Raw genomic sequence first — 19,211 nt, 5'->3', positions numbered from 1 at the left:
GAAGGGAGAAAGAGAATATACCTTGAAAAAGCTCTTCTGTACTCCAATTGAGAAGCACAGTCTTCAAACACAATTCTGATAGCATCATCTCTTGCTTAAAACCCTGAAATTGGTTCAACAAATTCTAATATTTTTTGAACAAATACTATGTGTCACGTGATATTCTAGGTGACTGTGACTGTACAGTGGCAGCCCCATTTGGTATCTCTGTGACCCTGGAGAAGATAAAAACTTCTTTGGCTTTAGTTTCCTTATCTGCATCTCTTATCTCTGGTAGAAGAGAGAACGGATCCTTGCAATGAAAGGCCACATGATTAGAGTACAACATGCTCCACTGACACTGCTAAACAAAACAGGATTATATGCTTCAAGGCTTTGTAGGTCACAATGAGAATTTTTGCTTTTACCCCAAGAGCAACAGGAACCCAAGGGAGGTTATTCAGCAGGAAGGTGCCATGCCCAGGGGTGTATAAATACTATACTAAAGTTGAATTAGCATTTCCTGTAGAACAAGGGAAATTAGTAATTACAGTCATATCAGTCTAATATTTTGAGGGTACTAAGTAAAGTTGTAATTAATATTTAAGACTTTCTATGTTCTATTTTCTAAGTAAGATGAAAAACCAAATTAAATCTTGCTTACTGGTATTAATCATAATCTCAACTCATTCCTGGAATTGTGAACTAATTTGTGTCCTATGTACATCTTAATTTAAGACTCTAGAAGTGTTAAGTGTCAGAAACCAAGTCTCAACTACAAAAAAAAATTTTTTATTAAGTGTGAAAGCAAAACAGGTACATCTATTTAAATATTTTTTACATATTTATAGATACAACAAAGACAAATAACTTAGCAAAAATTACAAGTTTAAAGAATAGTACTATTTTGAAACAGCCAATATAGTATCTGAAAATATTCCATTTTATCCATAATCAGTGAGTATTATTTCCAAAAAAAGTAACTTGCATTTTCTTGTGAAAAATATGGTTTTTTTTTTAGATGTCTGCCAAGATTTATCAGAAAAGTCCATCTTTCTAAACCTAAAAAATTGTAATGCCTTTATTGAGAACTTTTTTTACCTAATGGCTTTAAAAACCACGTGTTTTCCTTTGGACTTAGGTGAATTCTAAATCTTTACTTCACTTTCAAACTACAGGGCATCGACATAAACAAAAACAAATCAGATTGAGAGTTTTGGGTTGCTTTTCTTCATACTGAGCGAAGAACCTTCTCCCTGGCTGGGTGAAAGACCATGGTGTACTGTGATGTCCAATCTACCACACAGGGCTTCACCAAGCCAAAGCAGCCACACTGAAAGAAATCTGCCAGGTTCTGCATGAATCCAAGACTGCCAAGAAAAAAAAAAAGAGAACATGTCTTACTATATTTCCTGTGTAGCTTGACAAACATTTATGGAGAATCTATAATATGCAATGTCCTTTGAACATCTTGCAGAAATCCAGGGGTAGATGGGGTAGATCAGATAGTTCCTGGGCTTCTGGTACCTTAAAACTGAAGCCTATTTCTGGACCTGAATCTATATTTGGAGATTTCCTGGCTTCTGCTCGCTCAGCCACTTAATTGGGTTTTTCATCATCACTTCATTTTGGATTCCCCACTTAATGGACTGGCCACTGACATCAATAAGTTTCTTTCTTTCTATTCCTACTTCCCTAATTCAGACCTTGATTACCTCAAAGGCCACATAGGCCAGAACAACTGTAATCAACAAGATGGGATTTTCCCTAAACCTTTTTTTTTTTTTTTTTTTTTTTTTTTTGAGACGGAGTCTCGCTCTGTCACCCAGGCTGGAGTGCAGTGGCGTGATCTCGGCTCACTGCAAGCTCTACCTCCCAGGTTCACGCCATTCTCCTGCCTCAGCCTCCTGAGTAGCTGGGACTATAGGCGCCCACCACCACACCCGGCTAATTTTTTGTATTTTTTTAGTAGAGACGGGGTTTCACCGTGTTAGCCAGGATGGTCTCAATCTCCTGACCTCGTGATCCGCCCACCTCAGCCTCCCAAAGTGCTGGGATTACAGGCATGAGCCACCGCACCCGGCCTCCCTAAACCTTATAAGTAACTCTCTAAATGAATTCTCTGTCTCAATTCCTTTTAATTCATCTTGCATATTGCAGACTGTTGTCCTCCAAAAACCCTGATATAGTCATAGCCCCTCACCTCCCAATCAAAACCCTTTAAAGATACTCCTCTGCCTAGAGGCTCAAATAAACATTCCTCCTCTTTGTATTCAAGGCTCTATATAAGGTATCCCTCTAGTTCTAGCTCCTCTGTGCATCTTTATAAATCTCCTGCTCCAGCTACTCTGGCTCTATTTTTCCCATGATCATAGATGCGTGGGCCTGGAACGCACACTGCTCTACACTTAGCTCAGGAACCCCCTTATCCTTTCAAGTCCTACCAGTTCTCAAGGCCCAGGCCAATACCCACATTTCCACTGGAGCTTTCCTGACTGCACTGTCTTAGGCATCATTTTTTCTCCATTAAATTTCGGAAGTACCACTATCTATTCCAGTTATGAGAAATGCTCATTTTTACGCATATGCTCTATCTTTTAAGTGCCTAACCCAATCCCTTACACACAACAAAACACACCTGTCCATGAGGATGACTGCGTTGCTGTTTAGAAGATTGTGTTCTGCATGGGGATGATGGCATTGCTGCCAGTAAAGGACCAACACTACTCAGAGGGCAACTTCCTGGGAAGAAGGCTATGTGGAGTTGATGGGTTGGCAGTGGGGATGCATGCTAGAAATGTATAGGGCCTGGTTCAAAAGCTAGTTAGAGTAGTGTCCCCTTCCCCTTGGTTTCAGTTTCAGTTACCTGTGGTCAACAGCAGCCCAAAAATATTAAAATGAAAAATTCCAGAAATAAACAATTAGTAAGCTTTAACTTGCATGCCGTTCTGCGGAGCATGATGAAATCTCACGCCATCCAGCTCTGTCTGCCTGAGACATAAATCATCCCTTTGTCTGGTGTTTCCACTCTGTCTACACTACCTGCCTGTTGGGTTATCAGACTGAAATAACATGGTATATACCGAGTTCAGTACTATCTGCAGTTTCAGGCATCCATTGGGGTTCTTAGAACATATCCCTCATGGAGAAAGGGTGACTACTGTACTGAGTAAAAGTAACTTAGGGGAGGAAAACAAGTAAAATCTTTGGTTTGGGCGGGACTCAGGTTTTCCCTTGAGTTCCTCTAGTTGATGCTGCCATCATTCAGCAAACGTGCTCTAGTGCTCTCATGTGTCCCTCTATTCAGACTCTTCTCTAGGGCTTGGAATGCCCTTCCTCCCTCCCAACTCCATTGTGCCCTGCCCCACATCTCTCAAGGCTCAGCTTCAAATTCCAACTCTATCACAGGCTTCCATAGTTTAGTGGAGTAAACATTTATTCCTCTGGTTTAGCTACAAAGAAAGGGATTTTATTATCACTGTCAATGTGAAACAATCATCACAAGTTTACGCTCCTTTCCACTCGCCATTGCTTTAGCCACCTCTTCCCAGTTAAGTCAATTTCTCTCCTCTCCTAAATACACATTGTAGTTATATCCCAGTCTCTGATCCCCTTGTCTAACAGCCTAACAGTTTCATCTTGTACCAACAGCATGCTTTAAAATAGACTGCTCATGAGATATGCAGCGAGCATTCAAATCCCCAGAGGGCTCTGGGTCACCTCTGCAGCACTCCCAGTTTCCAAGACCCTGCCATAAGTGGCAGGGAGATAAGCTTCAAAGCCCAATCTTTCATATCGTAAGACGAAGGTCTTTCTATACATACTCTCATTTTCAACTGAAAACGTGTTTTATACAACCAAATGCTCCAGGGGGAACAAATCCAAATCTGAAAAATTGGCTTCTCCCTGGTACAAGAGGGCACATTCAACATAGGGCTAGAAGAATTAGTGGTGATAGAAAGCCAGGCTGAAAATCCTGGCAAAGCACACAAGTGAACGCTCTCTACAGAGCACCCTGTGGCTGGCTCTCTCAGCCATACACTTAATTATCTCACATCAACTCCACGCCAGCAACAAACAACCTTGTGACCATGTGGCTTGACTGGAGAGATTCCCCACCTTGGCAAAACTTCAAAGTCACTTACTATTTGTGCTGTGTCCAGTAAACTAACTCTCGAATTCTTACCACCGTGGGGCTCACGACTTTACCACTCACCCCATCACTAAAGCTTCTCTAAGAAAAGGGGGGTCAACTGTACTAGATGGCAAATTACAGAACAGCAGCATGGCCATGGGTAGTGGCACCAGCTTAGGAAACCAGTGACTAGGGATCTTCCACAGGACTCAGCATCCAAAACAGGTCTCGCTTACTTGTATGGTGTCTTCCTGAGGGACAACGTCTGTTTCATATGCTTGCTCTGCTTCTGCAGGCTGATTCTCTCATGGGAGGTCAGGCCCAGAAAGGCAATCTGAAAAAGAAGGGTGGAAGGTTGCACACATTCAGTGTGCAACTTTTAGATAAATAAAACAATATAAGATCAGTATCAGTGCAATTATCTCAATTTGTGTGTTCTCCTTAGTATCTCCTTGAAAAGGGACAAAGAAAAAGTTAATCAGAAGTAAAGAACATTTAATTCCAAAAACATGGGGAAGACTGAGAATTAAGGTAACTTAAAAATTCTTAAATCATTAAAAACCATAACTACTCACAGAGTTATCTCATTTAAACCTCAAATTCCTTATCTGTAAAGCAGCTCATCATACCACTCTCATCATATTATTTTAAGGATTTGAGATAGTCTATTTAAAATACCTAACTGCGGCAGGGCACGGTGGCTCACGCCTGTAATCCCAGCACTTTGGCAGGCCGAGGCGGGTGGATCACGAGGTCAGGAGTTCGAGAGCAGCCTGGCCAACGTGGTGAAACCCCGTCTCCACTAAAAATACAAAAATTAGCTGGGCGTAGTGGTGGGCACCTGTAATCCCAGCTACTTGGGAGGCTGAGGCAGGAGAATCACTTGACACGGGAAGGCGGAGGTTGCAGTGAGCCGAGATCCCGCCACTGCACTCCAGCATGGGTGAAAGAGCGAAACTCTGTCTCAAAAAATAAATAAATAAATAAGTAAATAAAATCAAATACCTAATGCAGAGGATTAGAGAGATGAAGTAACTGATTCAAAGCCACACAGCTTAGAGTGGGAGAGCTGGGACTGACTCCTTGGTCAGTGTGAGAATAAAGCCATGCTCCTAACCAACAACCTAGACACTCATCTTGACTTGCTACAGTCAAAGCCACGACTACCCAGAGCGCTCAGGAAATGAACGTTTCCGAAGAACTGGATTGTTTTGTTCATTAAGAAAACAGCTTTGTTCTGAATTCTTCCTTTTGAAAATTATCTGAAACTTTGAGTCCATTTTTTGCCTTATTGACCTTTTTCTAAAAAATTAAGGATATTATCATCTCATATACTTGTACTTATTCTAAGATTCCAGAAAAAAAGAAAGATAATTAGAAACAATGTCTCAAAGCATTATAAATACTAGGTATTATAAATGATAATACTAATAATCACAGATGCTAGTATCTATTCTTGCTGCTGGAGTCTATTGAAGTCAGAGTGATAGGAGAGTGAGAGGAATGTTCGGAAACCTCAGTTTAGTCAATATTATTAACTCAGTTTCATCCCTAAACATTTTCTTTTTTCTCTTTCTTTCTTTTTCCCTCCCTTCCTCCTTCTCTTCTTGTTATTATTATCATTATTATTATTTTGAGATTGATTACTTTCCCATAAAAGTGGAATATACTTTGCTTTGGTTGAGTAATGCTCTAATTATCTGAGGTCTTACAGTAATTGATTCAGACTGATGACCACCTGCTGCCCATTCCACATGGGCAGGACACAGCAATAATGAGAATTAGGTTAGGCTCATAGGGGATGGAAGCCAGCAGGGAAGGGACTAAAGCTTTGGAGAAAGCTGAAGGTGACTACTGCCCTGGAGCTTGAACTTTCTAATGGCCATGGCCTTCTCTGAAAATGTAATTACTATGACCACTGGTTAGTGATGTATTTTTCATTTCTTACCACTCTCATCCATTTAAACACTGCATAGTAATAAGGGTAACAAACAGCGCTGGAAAAACTGAGGGAAAACAATCATCTGACATTTGCATGATGGTTTACAGTTTATACTATGCTTACACACAACATATAATTTAACTGTACAATGGAAAAAGCCCTTGAATGGGACTGGCAGAAGACCTAAGTTTCCAGTTCTGATTTTGCCACACACTGGGTGACCTTGAGCAATTCAATTTACCTTTCTGTACTTCTATCTGTAAAATAAAGAGGTCAGATTAGGTAACTCCTAGGTCATACTCTAATAATTTATTATGCTAACCTTTAAACCATCTTGTGGTTTAATGTAGTAGACAGGCGTTATTATCCTCATTTTACAGACAAAATACCTGAAATTCAAGTGTGGTTAAATGACATGGCTAGACCCACAGAGTCAGTGACAGAGGTAAAAACAGAATGTGCATCTTCTGATTTTAAATTCAAGGCTGTCTCACTACAAGTTTTAGAAATTTTACTCAAAGCCATTATAAGAAGAGAAATAAATACCTGAAAGAGTTGATTTAATAATAAAAATGTTGACCATGAGAAATGGAAAGTTGCTAGCATCAAGATATATAAAACCCAAGGGGAACAGGCCACAATCTGATTGAGGTAAGTCCATAATCCATCTTCTTTGAATGTTGTGGCACAATGACTGGACAAATCTGTGAATTCACCAAAAAAAAAAAAAAAAAAAAAAGGCAATAAACTACTTATCAGTCTCCAAGAAGATAAAATCACTGCAGTTCTATATAGGGAGAAGAGAAAGTATGGCACAGATCATGATTCAATTTTAGGATTTCATTTTCCACATGACAGTTCAAAAACTAAAGATGACAAAATGGTGGCTCAATGTTAATTGAGGCTATGATAACACTGTATAAGTAGTTAACAGTGAAGGAATAAAGAAAAAGGGTCCGTAAAATCTTTACTAAAATCAGCATTCAGCATAAGATATACTAGCCTGAAGTTAATTATTTGTTTAGAACACTCCCTACCTTATTCATGTTTATAGCAACTATGGGTCTATTACAGGACTGAATATAAACTCTTATTAAGCATTCAGATGAACAGGCCATTGCTGTGGGCACAAGATATCCCACAAGCACCTAGATATCATCAGAATACAATCTAATAGCATGCAGGGAGCTGGGCATGGGTATACTTCTGCACTGACACCATAACTAAATCTGCAGAGGAAGAAAGGCCAGATGAAGGGACTCACAAGACAGATACACCTGGGAAAAGAATATAGAGCAAGATTCAGATGGTCACAGCTCAGTTTCTCCCCAGGTGTGCCAATTAAAGAACTTTACTATGGCCTTTCATATCAACCTCCTAACCCATGTAGCTAGGAGCAGCAGTAAGGAGAAATACACACAGGAAGCAGCAGAAACAAGGGAACGGATCTTCAAGGTTATGTAAATCCAATGACTTTTACAGGCACCCTGCCCATGCATAAAGGGTGAATTATTTTTAAAAGATAATTCTGTCGATTTGCACCTTGAGGTTTCATAAATGCCTCTGACAATTTGATAAACAGTTTTGGACATTTTCCCAATGCTGCTCTGAAGAACTCCAGGGACAGGAAGAAAATGAGTCTATGACTTTCCTGTCAACTGTCCATTTAAATCCTAAAAATCTACTTTTCTTTTCTCTTTAAGTCTCTGATTCCCAACCATCTTTCATGAATATATGCCAGAAGCATTCTAAGAGCAATCATCACAGAGTAGCAATCAAGGTTCAAGTTAAGGCAAATTACACTCTCTCTAGAGCATCTCATTAGGATGGCAAAGAAAGATGCATCCCATGCACCTGATATCACAAAAAAGAATATAATTTCCAACAGTAGGTGGAGAAAACAGCTGTTGATTGGGAAAGAATATCTATTTTCTTTCAGTTTATGGATTTCTACTGCTCCCTTCTGGGAATTCTTTTGATAATACAGCATGATCTCACACTGAAGTTTTCAGAATACTGGTTTTCAGATTTAATATCAAAGATACAACAGCAAGTTGTCACGTACATTATCTTATGCAATGTAACACTTTAATTTGTGCTAATACATTCTTATCAGCTGGCCAGTGGCTAATGGTAGGGAACTCACATCATTCCAGGTCAAACGTTTTCATCTTTAGATGGCTCTGACAGTTACAGAGTTCTTCCTGATGGTAATCTACAATCTTTCTTTCTGTAACTTGTAGGATGCTGACACTTTTGGAGTCACTTACTATCCACCTTGTAAACAGACCTTACAAAAGATGAAATGGATGGAGGCTGTACAGAAGTAGCAGCTATTGGATCACATGAGAAGGAGAGTATAGAGCAGGGCTCTAGTAATACAGCATTAATGGTAAACAAGGGAGGTGGGATGACAGTGAGGCCTCATTAGAGAAATGGAGCACAAGTTCATGTTTTGTCTGTGAAATAATAATAAATGACACAAGGCCCTCATTCAGTGTAAAGAAATATTGCTGGAATATAAATGGAATAAAGGTAACAAAATACACTCAGCTAGTTTATACAGTTGTAAGTGAATATAAGGTGGGACTGTTCTTATGAAACAAAATGTAATATGAAAATTGGTTCAGAGCCAGAGAAAAAAGACAAAGAGAAGGGAAGAATCAACATGTGTAATAAAAAAACTAACTTGGAAAGACTGAATGTGATGGAAAATCACTTCTGTCCTTATCAATACAGTCTTATGCTGGTCATAGATGCCAAACAAAGGTGACTATTTTTAGTGAAGAGAGAGAAGAGAAGAGAGGCAGGAGTGGTGTAAACTCTGGCTCCTCTCCCATAGGATCCAGTCCAAGAGACAAGTTGGTCTATGTGCCAACTTACAAAGGTTTTCCAGGAATATGCTTTACTGTCAGGCCTTGAAAGGCAGCTTTCTCAATAGAACCAAGCGCTGTCAAAAACTCTTTTACTTTTTACACCATAAGACATAATCTAAGAAGTTTTAAAAATCGAATGCTGGCCAGGTGCAGTACTTCACTTTGGGAAGCTGAGGCAGGAGAATCACTTGAGGCCTGGAGCTTGAAACCAGCCTGGGCAACATGGTGAAGATGCCATCTCTACAAAAAATTTAAAAATTAACTGGGCACGGTGACAGGCACCTGTAGTCTCAGCTATTTGGGAGGCCAAGGCAGGAGGATCACTTGAGCACAAAAAGCTACGGCTGCAGTGAGCCATGATGGTGCCGCTGCATTCCAGTCTGGGCGACAGAGTGAGACCCTGTCTCAAAAAATACATTAATAAATAAGCAAAAAACAAACAAATAAAATTAAAATTAATTAAAATAAAAATAGAATGCTCAGGGTTACTGGTGGCCTTTTTGACAAGAACTGAGCTCAGAGATTACAACCTTCTGACTATTAGACCTATTTAAAATGGTGACAGTCACATTTAGCTACAAAAGCATTGCCTAGTGATCAAAGACACCCAAGGCGTCAGGTAGGAAAGGGTCTGACAAGGTAACTGAAGCCCTCCATGCCTATGGCAGGGCAAAAAATAACTCATTACACATAGATACTAGTTAATAATCTCTAAAAATGAAACCCCAAACAAAACAAAATTTGTAATACTTGATATTTCTAGGGAGGGAAACTGGGAGCCTGGGGGGCAAGTGTACAAAGAATTGCCTTTCGAAAACTAACAAAAATTTTAAACTAAAGAGACAGAGAGACACAGAAGAGAGAAAGAGAGGAAAAATGTGTATGTGTATTGGGCTTATGATGCTAAGGGGAAAATAACATTCTTAATGTCTTTCGGAATTACTCCAGACTTCAGCTCAAGCAACAAACTAGTACCCTACTGGTAAAGTCTAAGATTTGACCAAGAATGTAACAAGAGGGTGGATGGAAGTGAAGCCTCTGTGTTTAGAGCCCAATTCTCCAAAAGCCTTAAAATAAATAAATAATAAACAGTTAAAGTCCAAATAAATAAACTACAAGCACTATAGGTTTTTCCAGTTAGGTAACCTATTTCCAAGGTCTGAAAAACATAATAATGCAATTCTTAAGACATAGCCAAAATCTTTCTTGGTTCAATTTAAACCCTGTCCTTCTTAGTCAACCACCTCAGAACAGCTGGCTGTCATTCCCTATGTGAGACCCCTATATACTTTTTTAAACCGCTACTGAAAGCTTTTTTCCTTCCTCAGGGCCGCAGAATAAGTGATCTAATGTTTTCTTCCAAGTTACTATTTCCAACCTTTTAACTGTTAGTATTCCCATCAGTTCTCAGTTTCAACTTGATACTTACCAAATGGCATGGGCTTTCAGAGGTTTGTTCCTTAATGACTGGACAACTATCCCCCAACCTCTCTACCACTGACCTTTTTTTTTTTTTTTTCCTGTTTTATTCAGTTACCACCTCCAGCTTTGTACTTCAGCAGCTGACTTTCCTTCTTCACTGGGGAGCAAATCTGCACTTGCCTTAAATGAATTTCTATTTTTGACTACTTTTCAAATTTATCACATTTTTTTCCTAAAGTACTGAGAACTAACCTCATCTTGTATTTCTTGCAGCTTCCCAATGCTGAGGGAGTCTTAGAGGCATTTGCTTTGTTTTTATTAGGAGTATGGTTTATAGTCACCCAGCCAGAATGTGATATACAAGGGTTTACAAGGAAAAGTAGAAATGGGTGTAGATGTATGTGCTTGTTGTAAGAAAAATTTACACTTACAGATGAAAGATCCATATATAATCCAGCCACATACCATGGAAAGGAAAAACAAGAAGAATATGTAATAGTGATGGTTGCCAAAACCTCAAGAAAAAAGAAAAAAAACATACTTAATATTTTCGTTTCTTCTGATTTTCAACATAAGACCTCCTTAACCACTTTCCTGTCAAAAGTCTTCACCAAAGTAAAACAGAAATAAAGCTGTTGCTTTGCTTTTAAGTACCATTAAATCAAACCACACATTTCTGATATGTCACAGTCAATTGTCCATGTTAACTGAACTAATATTTATTCATTGCTTACTTAAAAGAAGATACTTTTTTGGACTAGAATAAAGTTAACTAAGCAAACACTGCTCTAGGCTGGCCTATTCTGTGATGGAAGGAAGAGAAGCAGGCAGGAATTTGGACAAATCATACCCTGTCTCTTTCTTCCTTCCATGCAACATGTTTGTAAAAGTGCAACTTCTGGAATAGAATAAAGTTAACTAAGCAAACACTTTTCTAGCTAGGCTGTCCTATCCTGTGACAGAAGTAAGGGAACCAGGCGGGATTTTGGACAAATCATACCCAGTATCTTTCCTCCTTCCATGTAACATGTTTGTAAAAGCACCACCTCTGAATATCAAGGATTGACTTAATCAGGGGGAACACAGAAAACGAAACTGAGGAGCAGCAACAAATTTACATGTTGCTACTGGACATGCAAAGAGTGGCAACCCACAATCTGAGAAACTTCTACAGAAGGGAAGAAAGCGGGAAGGGCAAGGCAGCTAAGTCTTCTCTTGCACACGCTGCCTTCTCAATGCTGGAGATGGGAGCATTTCAATGCTAATGACACAAATACTCCTCAGCTACTACATCATGGTCCGACCTTCTCCTGGAGCAGCAAAACCCGGCAGAAGGAACAACACCCATTGGAATCAGGAGACCTAGGCTTATGTATTACTAGTTGTGTCACTGTAAGTTAAGTGTTTTAACTTCTCTGATCTAGCGTTTTTACAAGTAATATGGAGATAATATTTTTTCTGTCTACTTCACAGGCCTGTGGCTACCAAACAGAATGATGCATGTGCAAATATTATGTTACCTGTAGCATAATAACGATGCATGGGCCCATTGCTATTGGAATACTAGAATATTGAAAATGGAGCCCTAGGATGCCCTTCCACTTTTTCTGTGAGTCATAACTAAACATATGCTTAACTTCACAGTAGTAATTGAAAAATTAAATCTCTCACCTATGCACCGTCCAGTCCACAGGCAGTGTTGATCATATCGAGCCACACAGCAGTTGCATACATGGCAGTGGAGTGACCTTAATGGCTTCCTTATCTAAGTGGGCAATTAAGAGAGGCCTAAGCAAAAACCAGTGTCTCAAAGTGGTAACAAATCACAAGCAAAATTTTAACTTTAGGTCACAGAGGCATTGGCACAAATCCTAAACAGACCATCAATTCACACAGAGGCTGTGGAATGCCTTATTAGTATTTACTTCCATATGTCTACTTTGATTAGGACATCACTAAGTGGGATCTGAATTCCAGAGCCTGTTCACACTGGCTAAGCAGAAATGAGGCAGTACCACAGAGCAAAATAAGCACTCAACCAAGGGAAGGAAACCCAAGTTCCATTTTTAGCACCACCAATAATTTGGGAGAATTTACTTCCTCCCTTGATTCCTCAATTGCAAAATGAGAGGTTTCACTAAGTGGTTTCTAAGGTCATTATGAGCCTCTGATTTGACGTTAGTTCTAATATATGCTTCATGACAGAGAAAAGCAAATAAAACACACAATGGATAATTCACGGAGAGATGTAACCAGAGACAACTTCAAGAGATTATAAACATCATTCTGCCATATGTTCAAGACAGAAAGCTGTTCAGACAGGAATGTAAAATTAGAAATGGGTAAAAACAAAGGTGTATAAATATACCATGAAGATCTGACAAATGCTTACATCAGCAACGTTACCAAGACTTTGCTTTCACTACGGAAAAAAATTATATGAAAAAACTCACAAGACATGATGTACAAAATGTTCTGAAGTCCAGAGAGCCAGTTTCTGCAAGGGTGATGATATTCTGAAAGACATGAAGTTTGACCTATTACCACATTTTATTGGAAAATGTATTATGCATGGTTATACACCATTCTCACAGTTCTCGCTCCAAACTGAAGTAGTTAGAAAAGCAATTTGGAATACTTGCCACCAAATCATTCTGTGCTTGAAATGATGTGACTCTTCAAGGTTGCATTTTCAACCAACAGCTAATAAATTAGGATGCATAAAAATTATACCACCCCACCACTCCCACCTATCACCTCATCTCTGTGAATGGCAATCATCTCCCAGTTATGATCTGCTAGAGAAAAATAAATATGCAAATATACACACACATTAAAAAAGAAAAACCCACCAGTATACATCAAAACTGAAAGTTACAAGCACCAAGGGCTGGGTCTTTCAGGAACACTGGCTTTAGGTAACAAAGACAACATTCTCCAACTTCTAAACATTCATGAGCAACGGAAAACATGCCATGTCATCTGACAACTTCACATTTGAGGAGGAGGAGGGGCATCTCCTCAGCCAATAAGCAGAAGGACTCTCCCTGGTCACTGACTAGTTACTCTCCATTTATTTAGTGGGGAAATGTAAGCTAAATGACCATTATGAAAATGTTATTACAAGGAAGTAGGAGATCATATTCCTAAAAGGAATCACATCTGAAAAAGTCTTGGTGGGGTATTATTTCAACAGAAAATAAAAATATGTGTTAAAACTTTCATATACATAAATGAAAAAACTGTAAGAGTGGAAATCTAATTTTTGCTATATCACCCCACATGTCATGCAGCCGTAACAAAAAGCAACACATCTGCATATGTGCATATAAACTTTCTAAAGTTTACAAACCCTCCTATTAAAAATATCAGTAACGAAGAAATCTCACCACTTTCTTTTCTTCTTCAGAAGCCTTAGTGAAGCCTGGATCAGTTGCCCAAGTCTTATAGAAAAAGTATAGAAAGGCTACTATGCTGAAAATGAAACTGAAATAGAAAGGGGCTCCTGCTAAATGTTAAAGCCAAGTTAAGGAATACACCAAACTTCCTTTAAAAATAATGTAATTATGATGTAAGCAAATTTCATCATTGGCACCTAAGAATCTCACCTTCCTTATGCACACATGTCCCTGCCCCTAAATCTCTTCCCATCCTATGTTCTAATCCTACTGGAATTTGTTCCCACTTGGCTAATAATTAATGTTTCCTTATTAGTTGAAGCTCATATTAAATACTTGATAGGAATAGTTGCAACTTATGAGGAACATCCTGAAAAGTGACACTCAAGACCAAATAAATTTATCTCTAATGGTGTAATTGTGGCTCTCCTGTGAGCATCTAGAAAAATATTCTTTGATCATTTTAACAAAATCATTCAAAGAAACAACCCTCTTGATTCAGAGATTCCAAATAAAAGTATTTCCCTATATATTAGATACATGTTTGCAGAAAGACACTATTAAAGGTACATAGGGCAAGATCCTTTGTGAAAGAATCACATCATAATTTCTTTATGAAATCCTGATCGACACACGACTCAAAATATATACGTTCAGTTCTCAAAAATACGTTCAGTTTCATAATGCAATGATCCTGCACGCTGAGCTGACTGAATTTTCGGCTCCTATTTTGATTAACTTACAAAACAAATGGCAGGGGAATCATTGGATCACCACTCTCCAAGTAAAGTGAATTACACCCTATCACCTCACATAGAAGCTGAAGACACTCCTTGCTTTGGTGCTCTTGCCTGTGTGGTTCACTGACCTAAAATGTCCCCTACTTCCTCTCATTTTCTTCTAAAACCACACTTTTAGGGTATCCAAGTCTTAACTGCGATTAAAACCTAACTTATATTTTCCCTCCTTCCTTGCAATCTTTTCTGATTCCCTGGAGAGAATCATACTCTCCCTTCCCTGAATTTAAGAATGCTTTATCTAAGGCACTCAGATGTGGACTATAGTTTATAGACACACAGCCTTCCCAGTAAGCTGGTAACACTTTTGCAGTTAAGTCTCTCAATATGGAGCTAAAATTTGCCTTTCTATAACTTCAACCAACTGATTTTCATTCATTAGATCCTTTAGATCTGCACAGTAGCTGTCTTTTAGATCTAACCTACATAAGCTTATCCCCTCATTGGTTCAATACATTTTTACTGAGTGCCCATTCTACATAGTGCATTGGCTTCCAAATGATAGACTTCCAAACACTTGAAATTGGAAGACAGTGATCATACCTCCAAGATAAACAGCAACACTGTCCTTATATAACATTTTCCTGGTCATGTTCCTCTGTTCATGCTCCCATTTGTCATTCTCTCTTTTAAAAGGATATAATTCAAAACAGAGCAAACACCAGTGTAGAGGACAGAGAAGCTGCTGTTGTCTTTTGCTTGGACACTCAAATCCTTGTAATACTATGTGAGAATATACTTGCTTTCTTGACAGCTGCATCACTAGCCACACTGAGCATTTAGTCACAGCGCCTCGTTCCTTTGCACTTGACCAGAAGCTATGTCATAGCTCACCATAACATGCACTTGTATAACTGATTTTCTGAAACTCAGTATGGGACTTTACATGTATTTATCCCTCTTAAACTTAACTCAGTTAGTTACAGCCAATATCACAAATGTAATATTCAGTGATTCACCATTTCTCTCCTGAGTTTGAATTTTACCTTCAAACTCATCAATAAGGTTCCATTTTATTGTATTCAATCCCCCCTCGCACAAGCCAGACATTACTTGCTGAACTTATAAAAGGTACCAAAAGAAACTGATCATCTGAGAAGCCAACCTAGAATTGCCCTTGAAATTAGTTTAAACATGCAGCCTTCCACATCAATTTTATTCATAAGAATAATTAATAATAAAATATTAGGTATATTTATAGAATGCCAATTTTGCCATGGGGACTGTGGTGAGCACTTTATAGTAATCCTTGCAGCCACACCATGAGCTTGTTTCTGTTATCTCCAATTTACAGAAAAACTAAGGCTTGGTGAAATTATGTACCTTGCCCCAATGGTGCATAACTAGTCTGAAAAGAGCTAAAACTCAAAATCGTTTTGTCTTCTTCCATAGTGCCCCAGAATGTCTTCCCCTAATAGGCCAGTATCTGCGGAAGCAGATGCCCTTATTCAATCCAGACGGCAGCCTGAGACAAAGCTAGCCTAAAACCCAGGGCGGCATCTCAGTTCATCCACAAGGCAGTTCCAAGATTTAAAATTTAGTTTGAAGAACATTATTCTGATGGTGAAGTATGCCACCTACTGACTTATATGCCCTCACAAGTAGCAGGTTCATATGGTTGCCTAGAACAAAGGGCTTTAGGTTGTACAAGCAAATAAAATCATCCATCTTGTTGATTCCAACATCTTAAGATTCTGTCTAGCTATGGAAATCAGTTCTCTTTTGTTAATTTTAATCACGGCCCATTTAATTCTTCCACGACCCACTAACGAATAGCAGTCTGAGATTAAAACAAAAACAAACAAAAAAAACTCATCCAAGAAATAGGTTTATTACTTAAGGATCAGGGCCCAGGACCAAGTCCAGCTTAGGGGTGTGTTATTCTCTTAGTGTTGGCCGAGTCCTGTCACCTAGAAATGGGGAGAGGGGTTACTTGGGTTGTAACCATTTATGACTTTGATTCTACAAATTTGAAATAATTCAATATTTGTGCAAAATCTGACATGTTTCTCAAATTTTAAAAATTTATCAAAAAACACATTTTTAAAACTGTTTTATTCCACTGCCATATGGATTGGTAAACAAAAATATCAGCTAACTTTCCTTCCTCAGTGTCATGTCAATTACCCTAGAATTTATGAGCGTTAGGTCTTCTGCAAGTGATTTTGTTGTATCCTGTGCTGTTATTTGATGCACTCATGACTACTTATAAAATCATGTATTTTTCTATCATAATAATAATATCATCCAAGCCTTCATTAAGTGGTGGTAATAAGGCTAGTGCTTAAAAAACTGCCACCAAATCAGTAATTATGAGACAAAGAAGAGATAATAAAATCTTTTGAAAAAAGCCAAATGGCCCCAATGTATGCTGTGCCATTCATTTAAAGAAATCTGAAAAATTAAATTAGAGATAATGCTCAGAAATAAAAAGGAGCATAAAGGAAAAACATGCTATAATGGATGTGGACATATGTACTTTGAGAACTCCTATGGCCATCTCATTTCACATTTATTCCTATGGAAAAAATATTCTTGAATTCAGTTTATGCATGTCTCCCATAAACATTCTGTTCTTTCTTTTCGGAAATGCTATTACCAGAAAGAGAAGTAATGTGGAAGTTTAAATGAACACACTGAAAGGTATATTTCTATCTACAACATTCCTTCTTCTCCTACTCCATAAGCAAAGCAAGGCCATCAGGGCTTCCCAGGGTCCTTGGAAGGGGAGAAGGGAGTCTGGCAAGAGGTGGGAAGATTGAAAATGCCTTCCACCTACCTGAAGTCACAAATGGTTAGAGCCCAAGTAACCCCTCTCCCCATTTCTAGGTGACAGGACTTGGCCAACACTAAGAGAACAACACACCCCTAAGCTGGACTTGGTCCTGGGCCCTGATCCTTAAGTAATAAACCTATTCCTTGGATGAGTTTTTTTGTTTGTTTGTTTTTGTTTTAATCTCAGGCTGCTATTCATTAGTGAGTCATGAAAGAATTAAATGGGCCATGATTAAAATTTTTTAAAAAGGAAATGGGATGAAATAACACCATAGAGTAAAGCATATATTAGGAGTACAGTCTTTGTTTTACATATATGTTGAGTGGCAAAGTAAATTTATTTTCACCGTGGATTGAGAATCATTGCCTTAGATAATATCACTAACACTTACCGTTACTGAGGAAGCCATATTTTCCCCAATATCCCTTTCATGCAGTCCGTCTTAGTACTCAGAAAATGTATTAATTAACTGTAACTGCTGACCAAATTATGAGAACCATCTGACCTTGAAGGAATCTCAAGACAATCCAACAAATTATGGTACAAGTAAAACAATAATACATTCTACTGTTCCCCTCCTATGAGTAATAAATACTAGATACTTACTGTTTCCATAATGTACTCTGAGACTACTTTTAGAATCAAGTAGATTTTCAACATTAAACGTCTTCATCCAGAACCATTAAATGAATGCAAATATAAGTTGCATTCCCTGGGCCTTTTCCAATACCTAAATTCCTAACAATAACATTACTCTTTTAAAGGCAAAATGAGATACACATCAAAATTGATGCTTAAAGGATATCAGGAAAAAATAAGATGAACCAAGTCATAAATATCCAAAAAACAGAACTTAGCAGAAAGGCTGTTGGTAAGTATACAAGGTTCTTATACCCAACCAAGAACCTAAAAGAAAAAAGATAAATATAAGTTATTAGTATGACTTGTATTAATTTTAGTTCTAAATTTCCCTAAATAATAATGGTAGTAATAATAATACCAGCAGCAACAGTAATAGCTTTCACATACTGAGTGCTTACTATGTGTCACTTTCCATGTGGTAATAGAGTTATGCAACATCATCCCCCCATTTTACACAGGAGAAAACTAAAGCACAACGACTCTCAAGAAGTGTATGTTCTAGTTCTTCTAACCAACTCATACAATATTTAATTCACAACGATTTAATATATGTTTTCAATGGATCTTTTGTATTTCTAATGAGATATATATTTTTATTTCTTTTTTGGCATATATTTTTAAATACACTATAATGCAAAAATTTATATACTTGAGATTCACCTTTACATTTAGCAAGCTTTCTTCCAGAGACTAAAATGATATTTGTTAAGCATACTGATGCACACAACCTTAAGCACATTCATCCTATAATCAGCTTGAGAAGTAGACACTTCATATAAAAAGATACACAAAGGCTAAAAATGATACTAGTATTCAGAACACTAACAATCTCACTTGGGTCACAGGCGATTTGAGGTTCACATGTAATTTATCCAAAATACTGCAGTTTCAAAAGAAAATGTCTTTTACACTAAATACTCACCACAGTCATCTTATGCATGAATATAGTTTACCTGAATATATTTTAAAATTTATTCCAGGAAAAAACAATGATTAACAGTAGGTATGAAGGGTTAAAAAAAATTAGCTACCAGGATCATAACCATAATAATGGTAAGTTCATATTTGAGAAGAACTAAAGAATCCAAACTTTAGATGCTCAACATGCTGCCAAAATAGGCCAAATGAAACCCTTGCAACCTCCAGGGTATGGTCTGTCGGAGATCTTGCAGCAAAAAATGCATTTGACCAATTAGGTAATGCAATGAACTACTAATTTACAAGAGCCTGCTACCACTACATGT

The 19,211-nt window shown here is 38.1% G+C and overlaps 1 protein-coding gene across 12 annotated transcripts in view, besides 1 other annotated feature; it reads right to left on the bottom strand.

The window, feature by feature from the left end:
* Positions 1-755: 755 nt before the first annotated feature.
* ZDHHC13 (zDHHC palmitoyltransferase 13) overlaps positions 756-19,211 on the bottom strand; it is a 59,312-nt gene continuing 40,856 nt past the window's right edge. For 6 of the 12 annotated variants that reach the window (XM_011520195.2, NM_019028.3, XM_005252996.3 and 3 more), the window contains 8 exons: positions 18,131-18,231; positions 13,744-13,868; positions 12,808-12,870; positions 12,026-12,119; positions 10,786-10,869; positions 6,603-6,760; positions 4,351-4,448; positions 756-1,349 (listed from right to left, as the gene is read on the bottom strand). In XM_011520195.2, coding sequence (XP_011518497.1) covers positions 1,211-1,349; positions 4,351-4,448; positions 6,603-6,760; positions 10,786-10,869; positions 12,026-12,119; positions 12,808-12,870; positions 13,744-13,868; positions 18,131-18,231 — 862 coding nt within the window. In that variant the 3' untranslated portion in view covers positions 756-1,210. Of the gene's footprint in view, positions 1,350-4,350; positions 4,449-6,602; positions 6,761-8,202; positions 8,347-10,785; positions 10,870-12,023; positions 12,120-12,807; positions 12,871-13,743; positions 13,869-18,130; positions 18,232-19,211 lie in introns of those variants that run through there. The other 6 variants (XM_047427141.1, XM_047427142.1, XM_047427143.1 and 3 more) reach the window with 3 other exon arrangements.
* Positions 2,182-4,634: an enhancer, noted in NCBI's record as "VISTA enhancer hs2144". NCBI's record gives its function as "enhancer in: hindbrain (rhombencephalon)[3/13]" and the evidence as "EXISTENCE:transgenic organism evidence [ECO:0001131][PMID:17130149]".

This window comes from Homo sapiens, chromosome 11 (genome assembly GCF_000001405.40).
Source record: "Homo sapiens chromosome 11, GRCh38.p14 Primary Assembly".
Lineage (NCBI taxonomy): Eukaryota > Metazoa > Chordata > Mammalia > Primates > Hominidae > Homo > Homo sapiens.
The sequence above is the reverse complement of the archived record's forward strand: the minus strand, read 5'-3'. Positions and strand labels throughout refer to the sequence as shown.